This window comes from Homo sapiens, chromosome 22 (genome assembly GCF_000001405.40).
Source record: "Homo sapiens chromosome 22, GRCh38.p14 Primary Assembly".
NCBI classification, from domain to species: domain Eukaryota; kingdom Metazoa; phylum Chordata; class Mammalia; order Primates; family Hominidae; genus Homo; species Homo sapiens.
Genome location: NC_000022.11, coordinates 46,689,210 through 46,704,811, shown reverse-complemented (window position 1 = coordinate 46,704,811; position 15,602 = coordinate 46,689,210). Strand labels below are relative to the sequence as shown.

At 53.5% G+C, this 15,602-nt stretch overlaps 1 protein-coding gene across 1 annotated transcript in view; it reads left to right on the top strand.

The window, feature by feature from the left end:
* Positions 1-15,602, top strand: part of CERK (ceramide kinase) — a 53,843-nt gene that overhangs the window by 33,441 nt on the left and 4,800 nt on the right. Inside the window, exons 7-12 of the mRNA NM_022766.6 lie at positions 3,102-3,176; positions 5,347-5,499; positions 9,497-9,602; positions 11,309-11,385; positions 13,035-13,240; positions 14,612-14,820. Of these exons, the coding sequence (NP_073603.2) occupies positions 3,102-3,176; positions 5,347-5,499; positions 9,497-9,602; positions 11,309-11,385; positions 13,035-13,240; positions 14,612-14,820 (826 nt within the window). The remainder of the gene's footprint in view (positions 1-3,101; positions 3,177-5,346; positions 5,500-9,496; positions 9,603-11,308; positions 11,386-13,034; positions 13,241-14,611; positions 14,821-15,602) is intronic.

The following is a 15,602-nucleotide window of genomic DNA, read 5'->3' as shown; positions in this document are numbered from 1 at the left end:
GCTCTGTCACCCAGGCTGGAGTGCAGTGGCATGATCTCAGCTCACTGCAACCTCCGCCTCCTGGGTTCAAGCAATTCTCCTGCCTTAGCCTCCCTAGTAGCTGGGATTACAGGCACCCACCACCGTGCCCGGCTAATTTTTGTATTTTTAGTAGAGACAGGGTTTCACCATGTTGGCCAGGCTGGTCTTGAACTCCTGACCTCGTGATCTGCCCACCTCGGCCTCCCAAAGTGCTGGGATTATAGACGTGAGCCACCATGCCCGGCCTGTCACTTTCTAATTGACCATAACATTGTTTATACGTTATTTGCCCTTCATTGGTTTTTGTGTCTTGCAACTCTTTTCCAAATTAGGTTTTGGTCTTTTAACTTTGTATGTGGTGCGTTCTGGATTCCATGAATTCTGTTTTTCTGCATTCTCATCTATGCTGTATGGTTCTTACCTTGTTTGCAAGAAACCTGTCTTTTGTCACCATTTGCCAGTGGCAGTGCTAAGCCCTAAAATCCTCAGCTCTTAAAATCCACAACGACCTCAGGAGCTGAGACCTGCGGCTCAGGAGTGCTCGTGGGGATGCAGGCTGCACTTCACCATGGTCAGGGTGGAGGTGCCACTGTGTGCCCTGCCCCGTGGTCAGGGTGGGGGTACCGCTGTGTGCCCTGCCCTCCTCTAGGCCTTGGCTGTGGCCTCTGCCCCAGGAGAGGACAGCAGGCACCCCACCAAATGTGGGCATAAAAGCCTTTCCCAGGGTGGGTGCGCATTGTAGCAAATGCCACTGGGGGAGGGTCTGGGGAGAGGGTCTCTTTGTGGCCCCTTTCCATGGGTGTCCAGGAGGCCTTTCTGAGAGGTGACAGGTGAGGGGCCTAGGCCGGGAGTCAGCTGGTGCAGAGGGCAGCAGGTGGGAGGAGCTGGGGGTGTTCGGGACAAGGAAGCCAGTGTGGCTGGGGGTGGGGGTGGAGGGGCAGGGCAGGGCCCGAGGGAGATGCCGAGTTCCACTCTGCCATGCAGCAGGAGGTCTTGGAGGCGGTGGTTCGGCAGGGGGTGACGTCTGACTCTGCTCCGATATCGCTCTCTGCGTTTGGTCCTAAGAGCATGTGGGCCCCGGTGAGAACGCTGGTGGCTTGGACGGTAAGGGCGCTGCATGGGGTCTGAGACTCCGGGGTGTAGCTGGTGGGGGGCTGTGTGGAGTCTCTGCTCCGCAGCATCGCCTTGAGTGGAGGAGTAAGGGTGAGGGAGACACCCAAGGGTGGCCCTGTAACGGTCACCATGGCAACCTGGGGAGCAGCCTGGGGGCACAAGAGTTGTGAGTGAGACCTGACAGCCACAGACCCTGTGGGAGGCCGCCTGGATGCGCACGGCCGGTGGTGGCAGCAGGTACCTGAACTCACTCATGCTCCAGGGTTCCAGCCGCTAGAAGGTGCAGAGGTCACTGCTTGTCTTGCTGGCTGGGGGCAGGAGAGGCAGGAGGGGCAGGTGGGGGTTGGGGTCCTGAGATCTGGAGGGTGTTGAGCTGCCTCCCGTGGATGGCTGCCTCCGGGACAGATGTCACTGGAGCATCTGAAAGGCATGGCTCCGGCTGCTTTGAGACCTGATGTAGCATGTTTTACCTTCCAAGTCTCTTCCACATATGTATTAGTATAGATGCATTAGCAAATTGATAGGAAGAAGAGATCGTCATTCATTCGGTCCTTCATCGGGTGTTAGCCTGTAACTGCATCTGCTGCTTGTAACTTCAGCCAGCATTGCCTGCTAATGACTTAGGCACAGAGAGGCTCAAGGAGATGATGCGCATGTCCTGGGAGCAACCCCCCTGGAGCCCCGTCCTTCTCGCGTGAACGGGAGCATGTGGTTGGTCGTTACTCGGGTGGCGGCAGTGCTGGCCGGGTGGATGAGGAACTCCCGTATTCAGTTGTGTGGGGAATGTTGAGAACCAGCACAGCTACTCCCACAGGTATGGGTGGTCATTGTGGATGCAAATCATTCTTTTGAGCATGGTCCTCAGAGGGAAGGCCGTGCGATCAGCCGGGGCAGCTGCAGCTTCCCTTTCATCTGAGCCAGTGAAGCGCAGGATAAAAAGATGCATAAGCCGCAGCCGGCCCCGTTCACGGGGAACATCGGGCTGAAGCAGGGACCTGAGCTGCCTGTCCTGGCTGTCCTGGTATTAAGATCTCAAGTAATGGCTGTGTGTGACCTTTGCCGCATCCAGCTGTTTCAGAAGTTTACGAGGGCCAGGTGTGGTGGCTCACGCCTAATCCCAGCACTTTGGGAGGCCAAGGCGGGCGGATCACGAGGTCAACAGTTAGAGACCAGCCTGGCCATCATGGTGAAACCCTGCCTCTACTAAGAATACAAAAGTAAGCCAGGGCGTGGTGGCGCGTGCCTGTAATCCCAGCTCCTCGGGAGGCTGAGGCAGAATTGCCTGAACCTGGGAGACAGAGGTTGCAGTGAGCCAAGATCACGCCACCGCACTCCAGCCTGGGCGACAGAGCAAGACTCCGTCTCGGAAAAAAAAAAAAAAATTTTGTTATGCCTATAATTGTAAATGTTCACACACACACACACACACACACACACACACACACACACACACATATATATATTTTTTTAACTTTTTGGCTCCTTTTTTTTTTTTTTTTTGAGACGAAGTCTCACTCTGTTGCCCAGGCTGGATAGTGGCGCGATCTCGACTCACTGCAGCCTTTGCCTCCCGGGATCAAGCGATTCTCCTGCTTTAGCCTCCTGAGGAGCTGGTATTATAGGTGCATGCCACCACGCCTGGCTAATTTTTGTATTTTTAGTAGAGTCGGAGTTTCACCATGTTGGCCAGGCTGGTCTCGAACTCCTGACCTCAAGTCATCCGCCCACCTCGGCCTCTCAAAGTGCTGGGATGACAGGCGTGAGCCACCGCCCGGCCCAATCTCAATATTCTTGAGGAATCAACGCTAGTATTTTCTATATTCATTTTGTAGGTAAATTCTATTTATTCCTTAGTGTTGACTCTAGGGCCATGGAAGGAAAGGAATGAGGTACCACTCACTGAATTGGGAGGCGATTACAATTCTGTTATTCTGATGCTATTTGGGACCTTCTTTTTCCCTTTACAGGGTCAACGGACTGCGTGTGTTACTCCACCGTGGGCACCAGCGACGCAGAAACCTCGGCGCTGCATATCGTTGTTGGTGAGCCCCTCCTCTGCGCATGCGCACGGTGGCAGCCGGGCCTCCTGCGCCCCCAGGCCTGTCCCACTCTGGTCCCCGTCGCGTGTTCCAGCCGTTGCCGTCCTGTCCTGGCCGTGGGTCACGCTGTGTCCCCTGCTCTGCTCGCTGCGCTGTGATCCCACTCAGCACGCAGCTCCGAGGCCACGTTGTCAGGACGGGCTTCCTGGGGGCACGCCCAGTGTGGGCCGAGTTCTTTCCCACGGAATCCACCACATGCGCGATGCCCGTACTCAGCTCACCTGACTCTTGCTCAGTTCCTCCTCCAGAGGCTGCTGCCCCGAGGCTCGGAAACCACCCGCGTCCCGCCATACTGCCTGTGGCAGTGGGCACGGGCAGCTGTGCCTGGGCTGCCAGCTGTGGAACGCATGCCTCTGTGAGGCCTCGAGGCTTCAGTCCAGGATGCAGAGCCCCGGTCAGGAAGAGCAGAAGGGGCTGCCCATGGCACTCAGCACGGTGGGCTCTGGCAGGACAGATCTTTTGTGCCTTCGCCTGTTCCTCACCCCAGTAGACAGGGTTACCGTGCCTCACCTGAAGTCACAGAAACTGTATATTTTAAAATAGCCACTTAGGATTTTTTTTTTTTTTTGAGATGGAGTTTCCCAGTTGTCCCCAGGCTGGAGTGCAGTGGCGCTATCTTGGCTCACCGCAACTTCCACCTCCCAAGTTCAAGCGATTCTCCTGCGTCAGCCTCTAGAGTAGCTGGGATTACAGGCTCGCGCCACCACGTCCAGTTCATTTTGTACTTTTAGTAGGGATGGGGTTTCACCGTATTGGTCAGGCTGGTCTCGAACTCCTGACCTCAGGTGATCCACCCGCCTCGGCCTTCCAAAGTGTTGGGATTACAGGCGTAAGCCACAGCACCTGGTCAGGATATTTTTTTCTTTGAGACAGGGTCCCACTCTGTCACCCAGGCTGGAGTGCAGTGGCATGATCTTGACTCACTGTAGCCTCGACCTCCAGAACTCAAGCGATCCTCCCACCTCAGTCTTCTAAGTAGCTGAGATTGCAGAAGTGCACCACTACACCTGGCTAATTTTTGTGTTTTTTGTAGAGACAGGTTCTCCCTGTGTCTCAAACTCCTGGGCTCAAGTGATCCTCTCACCTTGCCCTCCCAAAGTGCTGGGATTATAGGCGTGAGCCACTGTGCCCGGCCTACTTCTGATTTTGCATTTTATTTTATTCTATTTTACTTTATTTTATTTTGAGACAGAGTTTCGCTCTTGTTGCCCAGGCTAGAGTACAGTGGCGCGATCTTGGCTCACTGCAACCTCCGCCTCCCGGGTTCAAGCGATTCTCCTGCCTCAGCCTCCCAAGTAGCTGGGATTACAGGCACCTGCCACCACGCCCAGCTCATTTTGTATTTTTAGTAGAGACGGGGTTTCACCATGTTGACCAGGCTGGTCTCGAACTCCTGACCTCAGGTGATCCACCCACCTCAGCCTCCCAAAGTGCTGGGGTTACTTACAGGCGCGGGCCACCGCACCTGGCCTATTTTATTTTTTTTGAAACAGAGTCTCACTCTGTGTGTGGCCCAGGCTGGAGTACAGTGGTATGATCTCGGCTCACTGCAACCTCCGCCTCCCGGGTTCAAGCGATTCTCCTGCCTGAGCCTCGCCACTAGCTGGGATTTCAGGCACACGCCACCATGCCTGGCTAATTTTTATATGTTTAGTAGAGACAAGGTTTCACCATTCTGGCCAGCCTGGTCTCAAATTCCTGACCTCAGGTGATCTGCCCGCCTCGGCCTCCCCACGTGCTGGGATTACAGGCGTGAACCACTGCACTCGGCTTGATTTTGTATTTTAAAATGCCATGTACTTTTTCTTCATTCTAAAACCACCGTCCTTTCAGTTAAAGATATTTCATGAGCCTCACGGATACACTCTTGTTCAGTCCCCACAGGATAGCTCCCCGAGCCTGTTTTAGAAATTTGAGTGGAGTTCAGTCATTTGAATAAAAAATATGGCATCCAACACCCCAAGAGAGAGAATCCTTGCACTGAATGCGTTCTGTTTGTTTCACACTTTTTAAAAGTAACTCCCACGTTTGCAAAGTGCTATTGAAGGGGATGGAGTGGATGGGGCGGGGCTGGAGGGGGGCTGCCTTCCCTCACGGCCGTTCTCTCCCACAGGGGACTCGCTGGCCATGGATGTGTCCTCAGTCCACCACAACAGCACACTCCTTCGCTACTCCGTGTCCCTGCTGGGCTACGGCTTCTACGGGGACATCATCAAGGACAGTGAGAAGAAACGGTGGTTGGGTCTTGCCAGATACGACTTTTCAGGTAACTCAGAATAATGCAGACTCGCTCCCCGCTGGTCGTGCCCCGACTGCCTTCACAGATGTTACCTGACTGAATCCACTGAGCACCGTCAGAGGTGGGCCCCCACCTGCTCACAGACGGGAAGCTAAGGGCCTCATGAAATGTGCCGGGGCCAGAACGTGGCAGGGTCTGGACTGGAACCTGGATTGCTCTAAACCAGATCCTGCCCCCTGGACCCAAGCATAAGCCACAGAGTAGACACCATGACGGACGCAGTTCACTCCAGAACCCCAGGTGCTGGAACCCCAAGACGCCAGGCCACCAGCCTCTCACATCTGGTAGGCAGGTGACAGAGGCCACCCCAAACTGTTCAAGTGGAAGTATTAATTGGAAAAAAAATAGTTTTTAAAATATATTTTTTAAAAATTTTTTTGAGACACAGTCTTCCTCCGTCACTCAGGCTGGAGTGCAGTAGCACGATCACGGTTCACTGCAGCCTTGACCTCCCAGGCTCAAGTGATTCTCCCACCTCAGCCTCCCGAGTAGCTGGGACTACAGGCACATGCCACCGTGACCAGCTAATTTTTTTTTTTTTTGTATATTTTTGTAGACAAAGGGTTTTGCCCTGTTGCCCAGGCTGGTCTCAAACTCCTGAGCTCAAGCAATCTGCCCACCTCGGCCTCCCAAAGTGCTGGGATTACAACCATGAGCAACCATGCCTGGCCTGTAAAACAATAGTTTTATAATCACTCTGAGCTTATTAGTCAAAGTGGCAAGAACTTTGTGCAGAAATTCAGCCTGGGATATCTGTGTGGAAGCTCTTCTGTAACTTCAGGCACAGGTATCCTTTACTTCATTCAACAAGGTTGCGTGGTTTTGTTGGGGTTACACCGTAGCTAGCCATACAAGTGAGATACACTCAGCACGTATTTGTTGAGCCCCTGCTCTATGCCGGGCCTGGTTTTTGAGGCAGGGACGTGTCCATGAACAAAACAGGCAAGATCCTGCCTTCCTGCGGCTCGGCCGCAGTGGGCACAGAGGAGGAGGAGTGGGAGCGAATGCCACGCCGCACTCCCTGAAGCCCAAAAGCTTTCATTCTCCACAGTGCTCTTCTCACCCCAGCAGGTGCTCCTGCCCCACTTTATAGCGGAGAAAACAGGCACAAAGAGGTTGCCCGCATCCTGCCTCACTCTTTCTTGAGCCCAGTGGTCCTCAGACTGTGGTGGGCACCTGCATCCTCTGGAGGGCTTGGTAGAACCCAGGCTGCGGGGACCCCCCAGAGCATCCAACACGGCAGGTCTGGGTGGGCTTCGGAACATGCAGGTCCTCCAGGCTCCCGGGGCTGCTGCTGGGGCCTCGGGCCAGGCGGCGGTGACCTGTTACCCGACCACAGAGTTTAGAATGAACCAGAAATGAAGGCTGGTGCCAGTTCAGACACAAGAGTTGCAGTCTGCACACATCAGGCAGTGGGTGCGACGTCACCAGCTTTTAAACGCTGGAAAAGGAGAACTTTAAAAATACATAGAATTGGCCAGGGGCAGTGGCTCACGCCTGTAATCCCAGCACTTTGGGAGGTCAAGGCAGGTGGATCACCTGAGGTCAGGAGTTCAAGACCAGCCTCGCCAACATGGTGAAACCCTGTCTCTACTAAAAATACAAAATAAGTCAGGCATGGTGGTGCACACCTATAGTCACAGCTCCTCGGGGGGCTGAGGCAGGAGAATTGCTTGAACCCGGGAGGCAGAGGCTGCAGTGAGCTGAGATCGTGCCACTGCACTTCAGCCTGGGCAACAGAGCGAGACCTCTGTCTCAAAAAAAAAGAAAAGTAGAATTTCAGCCTGGGCGACATAGGGAGACCCCATCTCCACAGAAATTAAAAACAAAATTAGCCGGGCACCCCAGTTACTCGGGATGCTGAGGCAGGAGGAGCCCTTGAGCACAGAAGGTGGAGGCTGCAGTGAGCAGAGATCAGGCCACTGCACTGCAGCTGGAGCGACAGCCAGACCCTGTCTCAAAAAAAAAAGAAAAGAAAGAAAGAAGAAAATATGTAGACCATGAGGTGTGCCATTCTCGCTGCCCGGTCGACTTTCCCGCCTCTTTACAGTTCGCTTTCAGATAAATCTGTATCAAATTAAATCGAGTAATTCCTGATACTAAAATCTTAACCCTTATGAGAGAAAGAAATAGTGATTTGGCAAACTTTACGAAGCTTGAAAAGATTTAATGAAATTAAAAACTAGTGTGGCTTGAAAATTAAAACCTAAGAAATGGCAAAGTGAGGTATTTATCTAAGGCTTATTAAGAAAGGGAATACCGAGAAAATTAGAGAAGCCGCGAGAATTTTAGGAAGCGGTTTGGGTTGTGCCATTCTCCCGACTGCCCTTTGTTGAGCCCAGTGTGGCTCTGCCTAGAATGCCCCTGGGATGCCCCCTCCCTGTCCCTGCCTGCTGGGGTGGGGTGGTGGGCAGCCCCCCTGCATGCCTGGCCCCCCCCTTTGCCCTCAGCCCATCACCACAGGCAGTGGCTGCAGCTCTGTCCCTCCCACCAGGATGAGAGCCCCGAGGCAGGAGACGCCTTCCGGGTCTCTGGATCCCCATCCTGGCCACAGGGCCTGAGATGCTCTCAGGAAAGCGGGTTTGGGTTCTGTGGCTGTGAGGCAGAAAGCACCCGGTTGTTCTGGAGCAGCACAGAGGGCATGGAAGGAGAATGAGCGTGTGGAAATGACACACTCTGTTGAGACACGTGGAGTTTTAGGTGCCGGTAGGACATCTGGGGCCCATCTAGGGGCAGACAGAAACCGGGACATCAGATGTCGGTGAGGCGCCACCCTGGAGGCTGCGTCTGGGTGATGAGGCAGCTGCCCCCCTGCCCCCTGCACTTGAGAGAGGAGCCGGCTTGGAAGGTTGCTGACCAGTGGGTCGGCCTCCTCCCAGGGCCGTGGACACGACGTCCTTGTGGGACCCCCATGGGAGGAGCAGGGAGAGAGGCCAGAGCCACTCTGCAGGGAGGCGGAGCTGCAGCCACCTGGAAGGGCCCGCCCGCTGAGTGCATTCCAGGCACCTGGCCCATGCCAGGTGCAAGACCCACAGACGGGGCTGTCCTAGGGACAGTCGGGAGCTGACTTTCAGGCACACAGATGTCCTAGGAGCCAGACTGCTCTTGCCGGCAGCTTCCCCCACCCCTGGGCGGTGCACACTTGGCTGTGGGCTTGCCATCTGCGGATGAGGATGTGAGGCCTCTGTGTGTCGGGGGTAAGGTTGTGTGTGACGGCCCTGCAGGCCGTCACTGCCACACCAGATGTCATACAGGGCAGCACCAGCCCCAGCATCAGACACGGAGGAGTGAAGTCGCCCTGAGACTCACAGGACACGGCCTGGCTCCTGGTGTGGCCCACGACACCCTGGGGCCCCTCTCCTGCCTCCTGCCCAGTCCCTGCTGTCCTGCTGGGTGGTGTTTCCCAGACAGCCCGGGTGCCAGGCTGCTGGCAGCCCCGTGGACAGCGCACACGTTTGCCTGGAGGGTGGCCCCAGACTTTGGGTGGCAGCGGCCCTGGCCTCTGTCCTGAGCTGTTCAGGACGTCACAGGGGCTGTGGCTGACCCCAGTGGGGGCCAAGCCCTGAGGCAGGTGGGGGCATCACTGACCCTCATGAAGAGGTGGAGGGGATGACCCTGAGCCACTGGAGCCCACAGGCCACATCATCGAGGCTATGAGGGGTGGCTAATGGCAAAGGCCCCACTTTGCCAGCGTCAAGAGTGGCCATAGCCCTGGCTGTCCCAGCATCACTGGGTGTCAGAAGGCACCAGCACTATGACTAGACGTGCTGTTGTCCTGAGGGAGGGCAGAGACCCTGCCACTGCCTTCAATGGTGACATGGCCTGAAGCAGGCCCGGCCTCTCCCTCCTGCAGACGGTTTAGGCAGATGCGCGCTCAGCGACATTTCTGAAGCTGCCCAGCACAGCATCCTAACCAAGCAATGACCCTTGTGGATGTTTTTTCTTCACTGCACTCTGTTCCCAGGTTTAAAGACCTTCCTCTCCCACCACTGCTATGAAGGGACAGTGTCCTTCCTCCCTGCACAACACACGGTGGGATCTCCAAGGGATAGGAAGCCCTGCCGGGCAGGGTAAGTGCATTGCTTTGTGTGTTTCTCTTGCAAATGACGGGAAATGAAGCAGGACGGTTAGGAAGGTGAATGCAGAAGTATTTTCCAAATGTGGTGGAAGGTGCCGGATGTAGCGTGCCCAGACACACGATGCCTATGATGCCCATGATGGCCTAGGCGTGCATGGGGCTTGCTGTCCCCATCTCTGTCCCCATGGCCTGCGCAGGCAGCTGCTGCTGTGCCAGGGATGAGGACTCTGGGGGAGGGTCCCACACCCACTGTTGGAGTGGGGGCTGAGCACAGGGTCTTTCCCTGCTGGGGTTCCCTTTACCCCCTGCAGGGGCCTGATGGAGGAGAAATGCAGGCAGGAAAGGATGGCAGACACCTTATCAGTGACTGTGCGTGTGCAGGGCACTGGTGGCAGGACCGTTGGTAGAGCTGGCTGAAGTGTGCACTCTCAGCAGCCACCCTCCTGTCCACACCCCTGGCTGAGACCCTCACCCATGTTAGCCCCATGCTCCAAGGCAGGAGCCCACTCTAAGGTTAGCAGAGCCCAGGCCAGCCACGCCTTCAACCCCACAGGAAGGCAGGGACCCTCAGCAAGAAGGCTCGGGCTGGCAACAAGGGCTGGTGCCAGGGGTTGGGGGGCAGAGCCAGGGCAGCTGCCCAGGGAGAGGGGATGCAAAGGGAAAGAGGCGCCCCACCGGGGAGGGGAGGCTGAGTGCAGACAACACAGCTGGAAACGCTGCGCTCTCCCCTTACATTTGGTCCCCCAGTTTGGCCACTGCAGGCTCTGCAATGGTGGCTACGCCACTGAACAAGCAGGGACTCCTTTCACCTGGCATATCTCCGCCCCCACCCCCACACAGTGTATTCAGTAATATGCGACCAGTGTAAATAGAACCTTAAATAAATCTAAACATAGTTGTCCCAGGCCGCATGACCTCCCTAGTGACCATGGAGGGCGCCTGAATGGTCATCCTGTCTCTGCTCTGCCTGGGGCTGAGGACACGGGGCTGTGGAGACAGCTGCGCCTTTGTGAAGGACACTCACGTCCTTTCCTTTTAAGTCATGCAGACTTCAGAACCTCCTTCTAGCTCCTTTCCTTTTTTAAGTGAAGAATTGGAGACCATAAAATCAGAATATGTAGAGGCAGATGCTGTTTGCGTCAGTGCATTAAAGAACTCGGCTGCTGATGAGCGATTTCCATCAGTGCAAACAGTGTCCTGTTTGACAGCGTGAATCCGGCAGCCCCCAAGATCAGAAGGACGTGCTAGACGAATGACTAAGTTCTAAGCTGATGGTTCTGAGTTATTTGCTTGTTATTGACTGTAACAGATAAACCCTGTATGATTTGTTTTCTGAAAGTAAATGAGTCCTCACCCCAGGAGTCCGCTGGGGGAACCAGTGCCTCAGTCATTTCTCCCAGCCAGGCTATGTTAGCTGGAGGGCCAGGCAGAAACCGTCTCCAGGTGGCACCTCAGCGTCCTCATGCTGTGCTTCTCCTCATGTCCAAACCTTTTAGAGAAGGACATGTTGAATGTGTCATTGTAAAAGTAGGTCTCATTCTGAAACCTCTAATTAATATGCCAAAAAATATTTTGTTAAGCCTTTGAAATGGAATTTTTTCGTATGTGAAAAGAATGTAAATACATCTATATGTGCCAAGCATACGCACTGCACCTGCAGCTCCATATTTAAAAGGTGATGATATTCTTGTCTTTCAGATGCTTTGTTTGCAGGCAAAGCAAGCAGCAGCTGGAGGAGGAGCAGAAGAAAGCACTGTATGGTTTGGAAGCTGCGGGTAATTCCTAAAACACAGGCTCAGTGTTGTCACTGTGTGTGCTGGAGTGCGGGTTTCTGTCCTCTCTCAGGGCACTGCCTCTTCTCCCTGCCCACCTGTGCTTTTCCTTTTTCCTGTCTGGCACCAGGCATCCATTTCTTCTTAGCCCCAGGCAGCGTCAGGTCACTGTTACTTGCCGTGTGTGGCTGTGTGGAGCAGTGGGTTTTGTGAAAGGCCCCGTTACCCTTTCTGAAACGCTGTTGTGGTGCTGAGTCTGGACTCCTGTCCCAGGTGCTCTAGAATGTGGGGGCAGCAGATGTCCCATTGAGGGCTTGCTTGGTGACCACCTCAGGCCCTGGCAACCACACAGTCTCTGTCCAGCAGAGGCAGCCTAGGCAGTGTACAGTGAGTGGGTATGGCCATCTGCCGATGAAACTTTATTTATGGACACTGAAATTTAAGTTTCATAGAATTTCCACATGTCACAAAATATTATTATTTTGATTTTTTTCTCTTTCTCTTCTTTTTTTTTTTTTTTTTTTTGGATGGAGTTTCACTCTTGTCGCCCAGGCTAGAGTGCAGGGGCACAATATCAGCTCACTGCAACCTCCGCCTCCCGAGTTCAAGCGATTCTCCTCCCTCAGCCTCCCTAGTAGCTGGGACTACAGGCATGTGCCACCATGCCCAGCTAATCTTTGTATTTTTAGTAAAGATGGGGTTTCACCATGTTGGCCAGGCTGGTCTCAAACTCCTGACCTCAGGTGATCTGACTGCCTCAGCCTCCTAAAGTGCTGGGACCACAGGTCTGAGCCACCATGCCCAGTCAATAATATTTATTTATTTATTGGGACAGAGTCTTGTTCCATCACCCAGGCTGGATTGCAGTGGCGCGATCTCGGCTCACTGCAACCTCCACCTTCTGGGTTCAAGCGATTCTCCTTCCTTAGCCTCCTGAGTAGCTGGGATTACAGGCGCCTGCCGCCATACCTGGCTAATTTTTTTTTTTTTTTTTTTTTTTTTTAAGACAGAGTTTTACTCTTGTTGCCCAGTCTGGAGTGCAATGGCGCAATCTCAGCTCACTGCAACCTCTGCCTTCCGGGTTCAAGCAGTTCTCCTGCCTCAGCTTCCCCAGCAGCTGGGATTACAGGCATGCACCGCCACGCCTGGCTAATTTTTGTATTTTTAGTAGAGATGGTTTTCACCATGTTGGCCAGGCTGGTCTCGAACTCCTGACCTCAGGTGATCTGCCCGCCTCGGCCTCCCAAAGTGCTGGGATTACAGGCGTGAGCCACCGCGCCAGACCTTTTTCAAGGATTTAAAAACGTGAAAAGCATTCTTAGCTCTCAGGCCACACACAGACGGGCGGCGGGCCGGATCTGACACACAGCCTTGGTTTGCTGACCCTTGTTCTAAATTGTCCAAAAGTCACCAAGTGAGGAGAGGGACAACAGTCCTGCCTTCTGGGAGGTGATCCTTTGGGTACCACTTCCTGCGGGGAGCGGACAGTTCCGTGGTGGATGTTTTTGGTGTTGAGCTGAAGAGTCGATTGCATGAAGTGTCTGCTAAATGCATGAGCAGGTGAGAGCCCGAATGGCCTCCCACCGTCCTGGTGCAGGGCGCTGCCCGGCGCCATTGTAACTGTGACATCTCCGTGGTTCTTTGTGCTTCAGAGGACGTGGAGGAGTGGCAAGTCGTCTGTGGGAAGTTTCTGGCCATCAATGCCACAAACATGTCCTGTGCTTGTCGCCGGAGCCCCAGGGGCCTCTCCCCGGCTGCCCACTTGGGAGACGGGTCTTCTGACCTCATCCTCATCCGGAAATGCTCCAGGTTCAATTTTCTGAGATTTCTCATCAGGCACACCAACCAGCAGGACCAGGTAAGTGGGGTGCTCTTGCATGGAGCCTCCACTGGCGAGTAATTTATGTTCCAGCAGTCCCTGGTTTATGTGTTGTAGGAATTCATTATTTAATTCAAGGGAAGGAAGGGCAAACTTTTTTTTTTTTAATTTCACAAACTTTAAACTCCTGGTTACAACTACTCCTTGTAAAATATCATTTAAAACGATAAATTTTTGAGGCCAGATGCGGTGGCTCATGCCTGTAATCCCAGCACTTTGGGAGGCTGAGGCAGGCGGATCACCCGAGGTCAGGAGTTTGAGACCAGCCTGGGCAACATGGTGAAACCTCATCTCTACTAAAAATACAAAAAAGCCAGGCGTGGTGGCGTGCGCCTGTAATCCCAGCTACTCGGGAGGCTGAAGCATGAGAATCGCTTGAACCCAGGAGGTGGAGGCTACAGTGAGCTGAGATCACGCAACTGCACTCCAGCCTGGGTGACAGAGTGAGACTCCATCTCAAATATATGTGTGTGTGTGTGTGTGTGTGTGTGTGTATGTATGTATACATGTGTGTGTATGTGTATATATACATATATGTGTATATACATACACATACATACATATACACACATACATACATATACACACACATACATACATACATATACACACACATGTATTTGAGCACAGAAACTAAGAGGTATGAATCTTTATAATACAACTTCTTACCCGTTGTTTCTCTTCCTATTTAAAAACAGAACAAAGCGACACAGTAAAGATGTAAGTGGCCCTTGCAGGCCACTGAAAATAGACTCTTTAGGCTCCCAGAAATGGGTTCTGTTCGGACCCTTCTACCACATCTTTCTGTAGCCTATGCAGAGGAAGACCCGAGTCTAGTCATGTTGGGGGAAGCGGAACTTTTGGTCACAGTCTCCAAATTTAGTCACATTTCTTTTTTTACTTAAGTTCTATTTAAGATCTAGTCTAATGCTATTTTTATGTGGCTTTTTAAGTAGTGCTTGTTAAAAAGAGAATACAAAATTCTAATAATCACTGCTAATTATTTATCAGAATTCTGTAAAAAGCGTTCGTCATTGTAGATAAGCTGTGGTTTCTAAAAGCATTAGAAGTCATTTTGACAAGTGCCGCGGAAGGTGGGCACCGGGGAAGGTAGGCGCCGGGGAAGGTGGGCGCCGGGAAAGGTGGGTGCCAGGTTTCCCTTCATCTCTGAGCTGTCAGTTCAGCTGGAAAGGGAACTCCAGGGGCCTGCACAAGCAGTCGCATCCTCCGAGAAGGGCCGTGTGTGCACCCAGGCCTGACAGCGCTCGCTGTCAGGCCTGGGGTGTTCTGCTGCCCCACCCAGACGATGACGTTTAGAGCTGAATGGTCCCTCTCACTGTTTCTTGGTAGTTTGACTTCACTTTTGTTGAAGTTTATCGCGTCAAGAAATTCCAGTTTACGTCGAAGCACATGGAGGATGAGGACAGCGACCTCAAGGAGGGGGGGAAGAAGCGCTTTGGGCACATTTGCAGCAGCCACCCCTCCTGCTGCTGCACCGTCTCCAACAGCTCCTGGAACTGCGACGGGGAGGTCCTGCACAGCCCTGCCATCGAGGTCAGGTGCGTGCAGGGGTCCTCCAGCCACCAGCGCCATCCCCTTGAGCCCTGAGGTGTCTGTCACAAGCTGCCCCACCCAGGGTGGGGGGTTCCCTGGGGCTTTATAAACACAAAACGTAAGAATGTTTTATAAATGCACTTTTCTCTCCCTATGTCAAATATCGAATGAGATGCCGTTACCCACATTCTGGAAAGATGCCAGGGTGCCGAGTCCTCAGCATTTTGTTTTGCAGATAATTTTCATGGGTGTTTGAAGCTCCTCCATTTCATTCTTTTCCTCTTCCACACCCTGTGCTCCAGGCTGGCATTGGGCTCTTTGCCCTGGCATTCTCTCTCTCTTCTCCTAAATAATTCAAAAGGTGGGAGGCTGAGGCGGGCAGATCACTTGAGATCAGGAGTTCAAGACCAGCCTCGCCAACATGGTGAAACCCCGTCTCTACTAAAAATACAAAAAAAATTAGTCGGGTGTGATGGTGCATGCCTGTAATCCCAGCTACCCCGGAGGCTGAGGCAGGAGAGTCGCTTGAACCCAGGAGGCAGAAGTTGCAGTGAGCCGAGACCATGCCACTGCACTCCAGCCTTGGTGACAGAGCGAGACTCCATCTCAAAAAAATTTCAAAAGGCAAACAAAGGAAACCGCCTTTACAGGCAGTCCTTTGTCCACTGAATCCACCAGGGAACCGCTGGCCTCAAGGGCCACAGTCAATCACCAAGTGCAGGTGCTCCGTGCAGGGAGGGGCAGGAGGCAGCAGGGCTGGGAAGGGCACCCCGAGGATGGGAAGGAG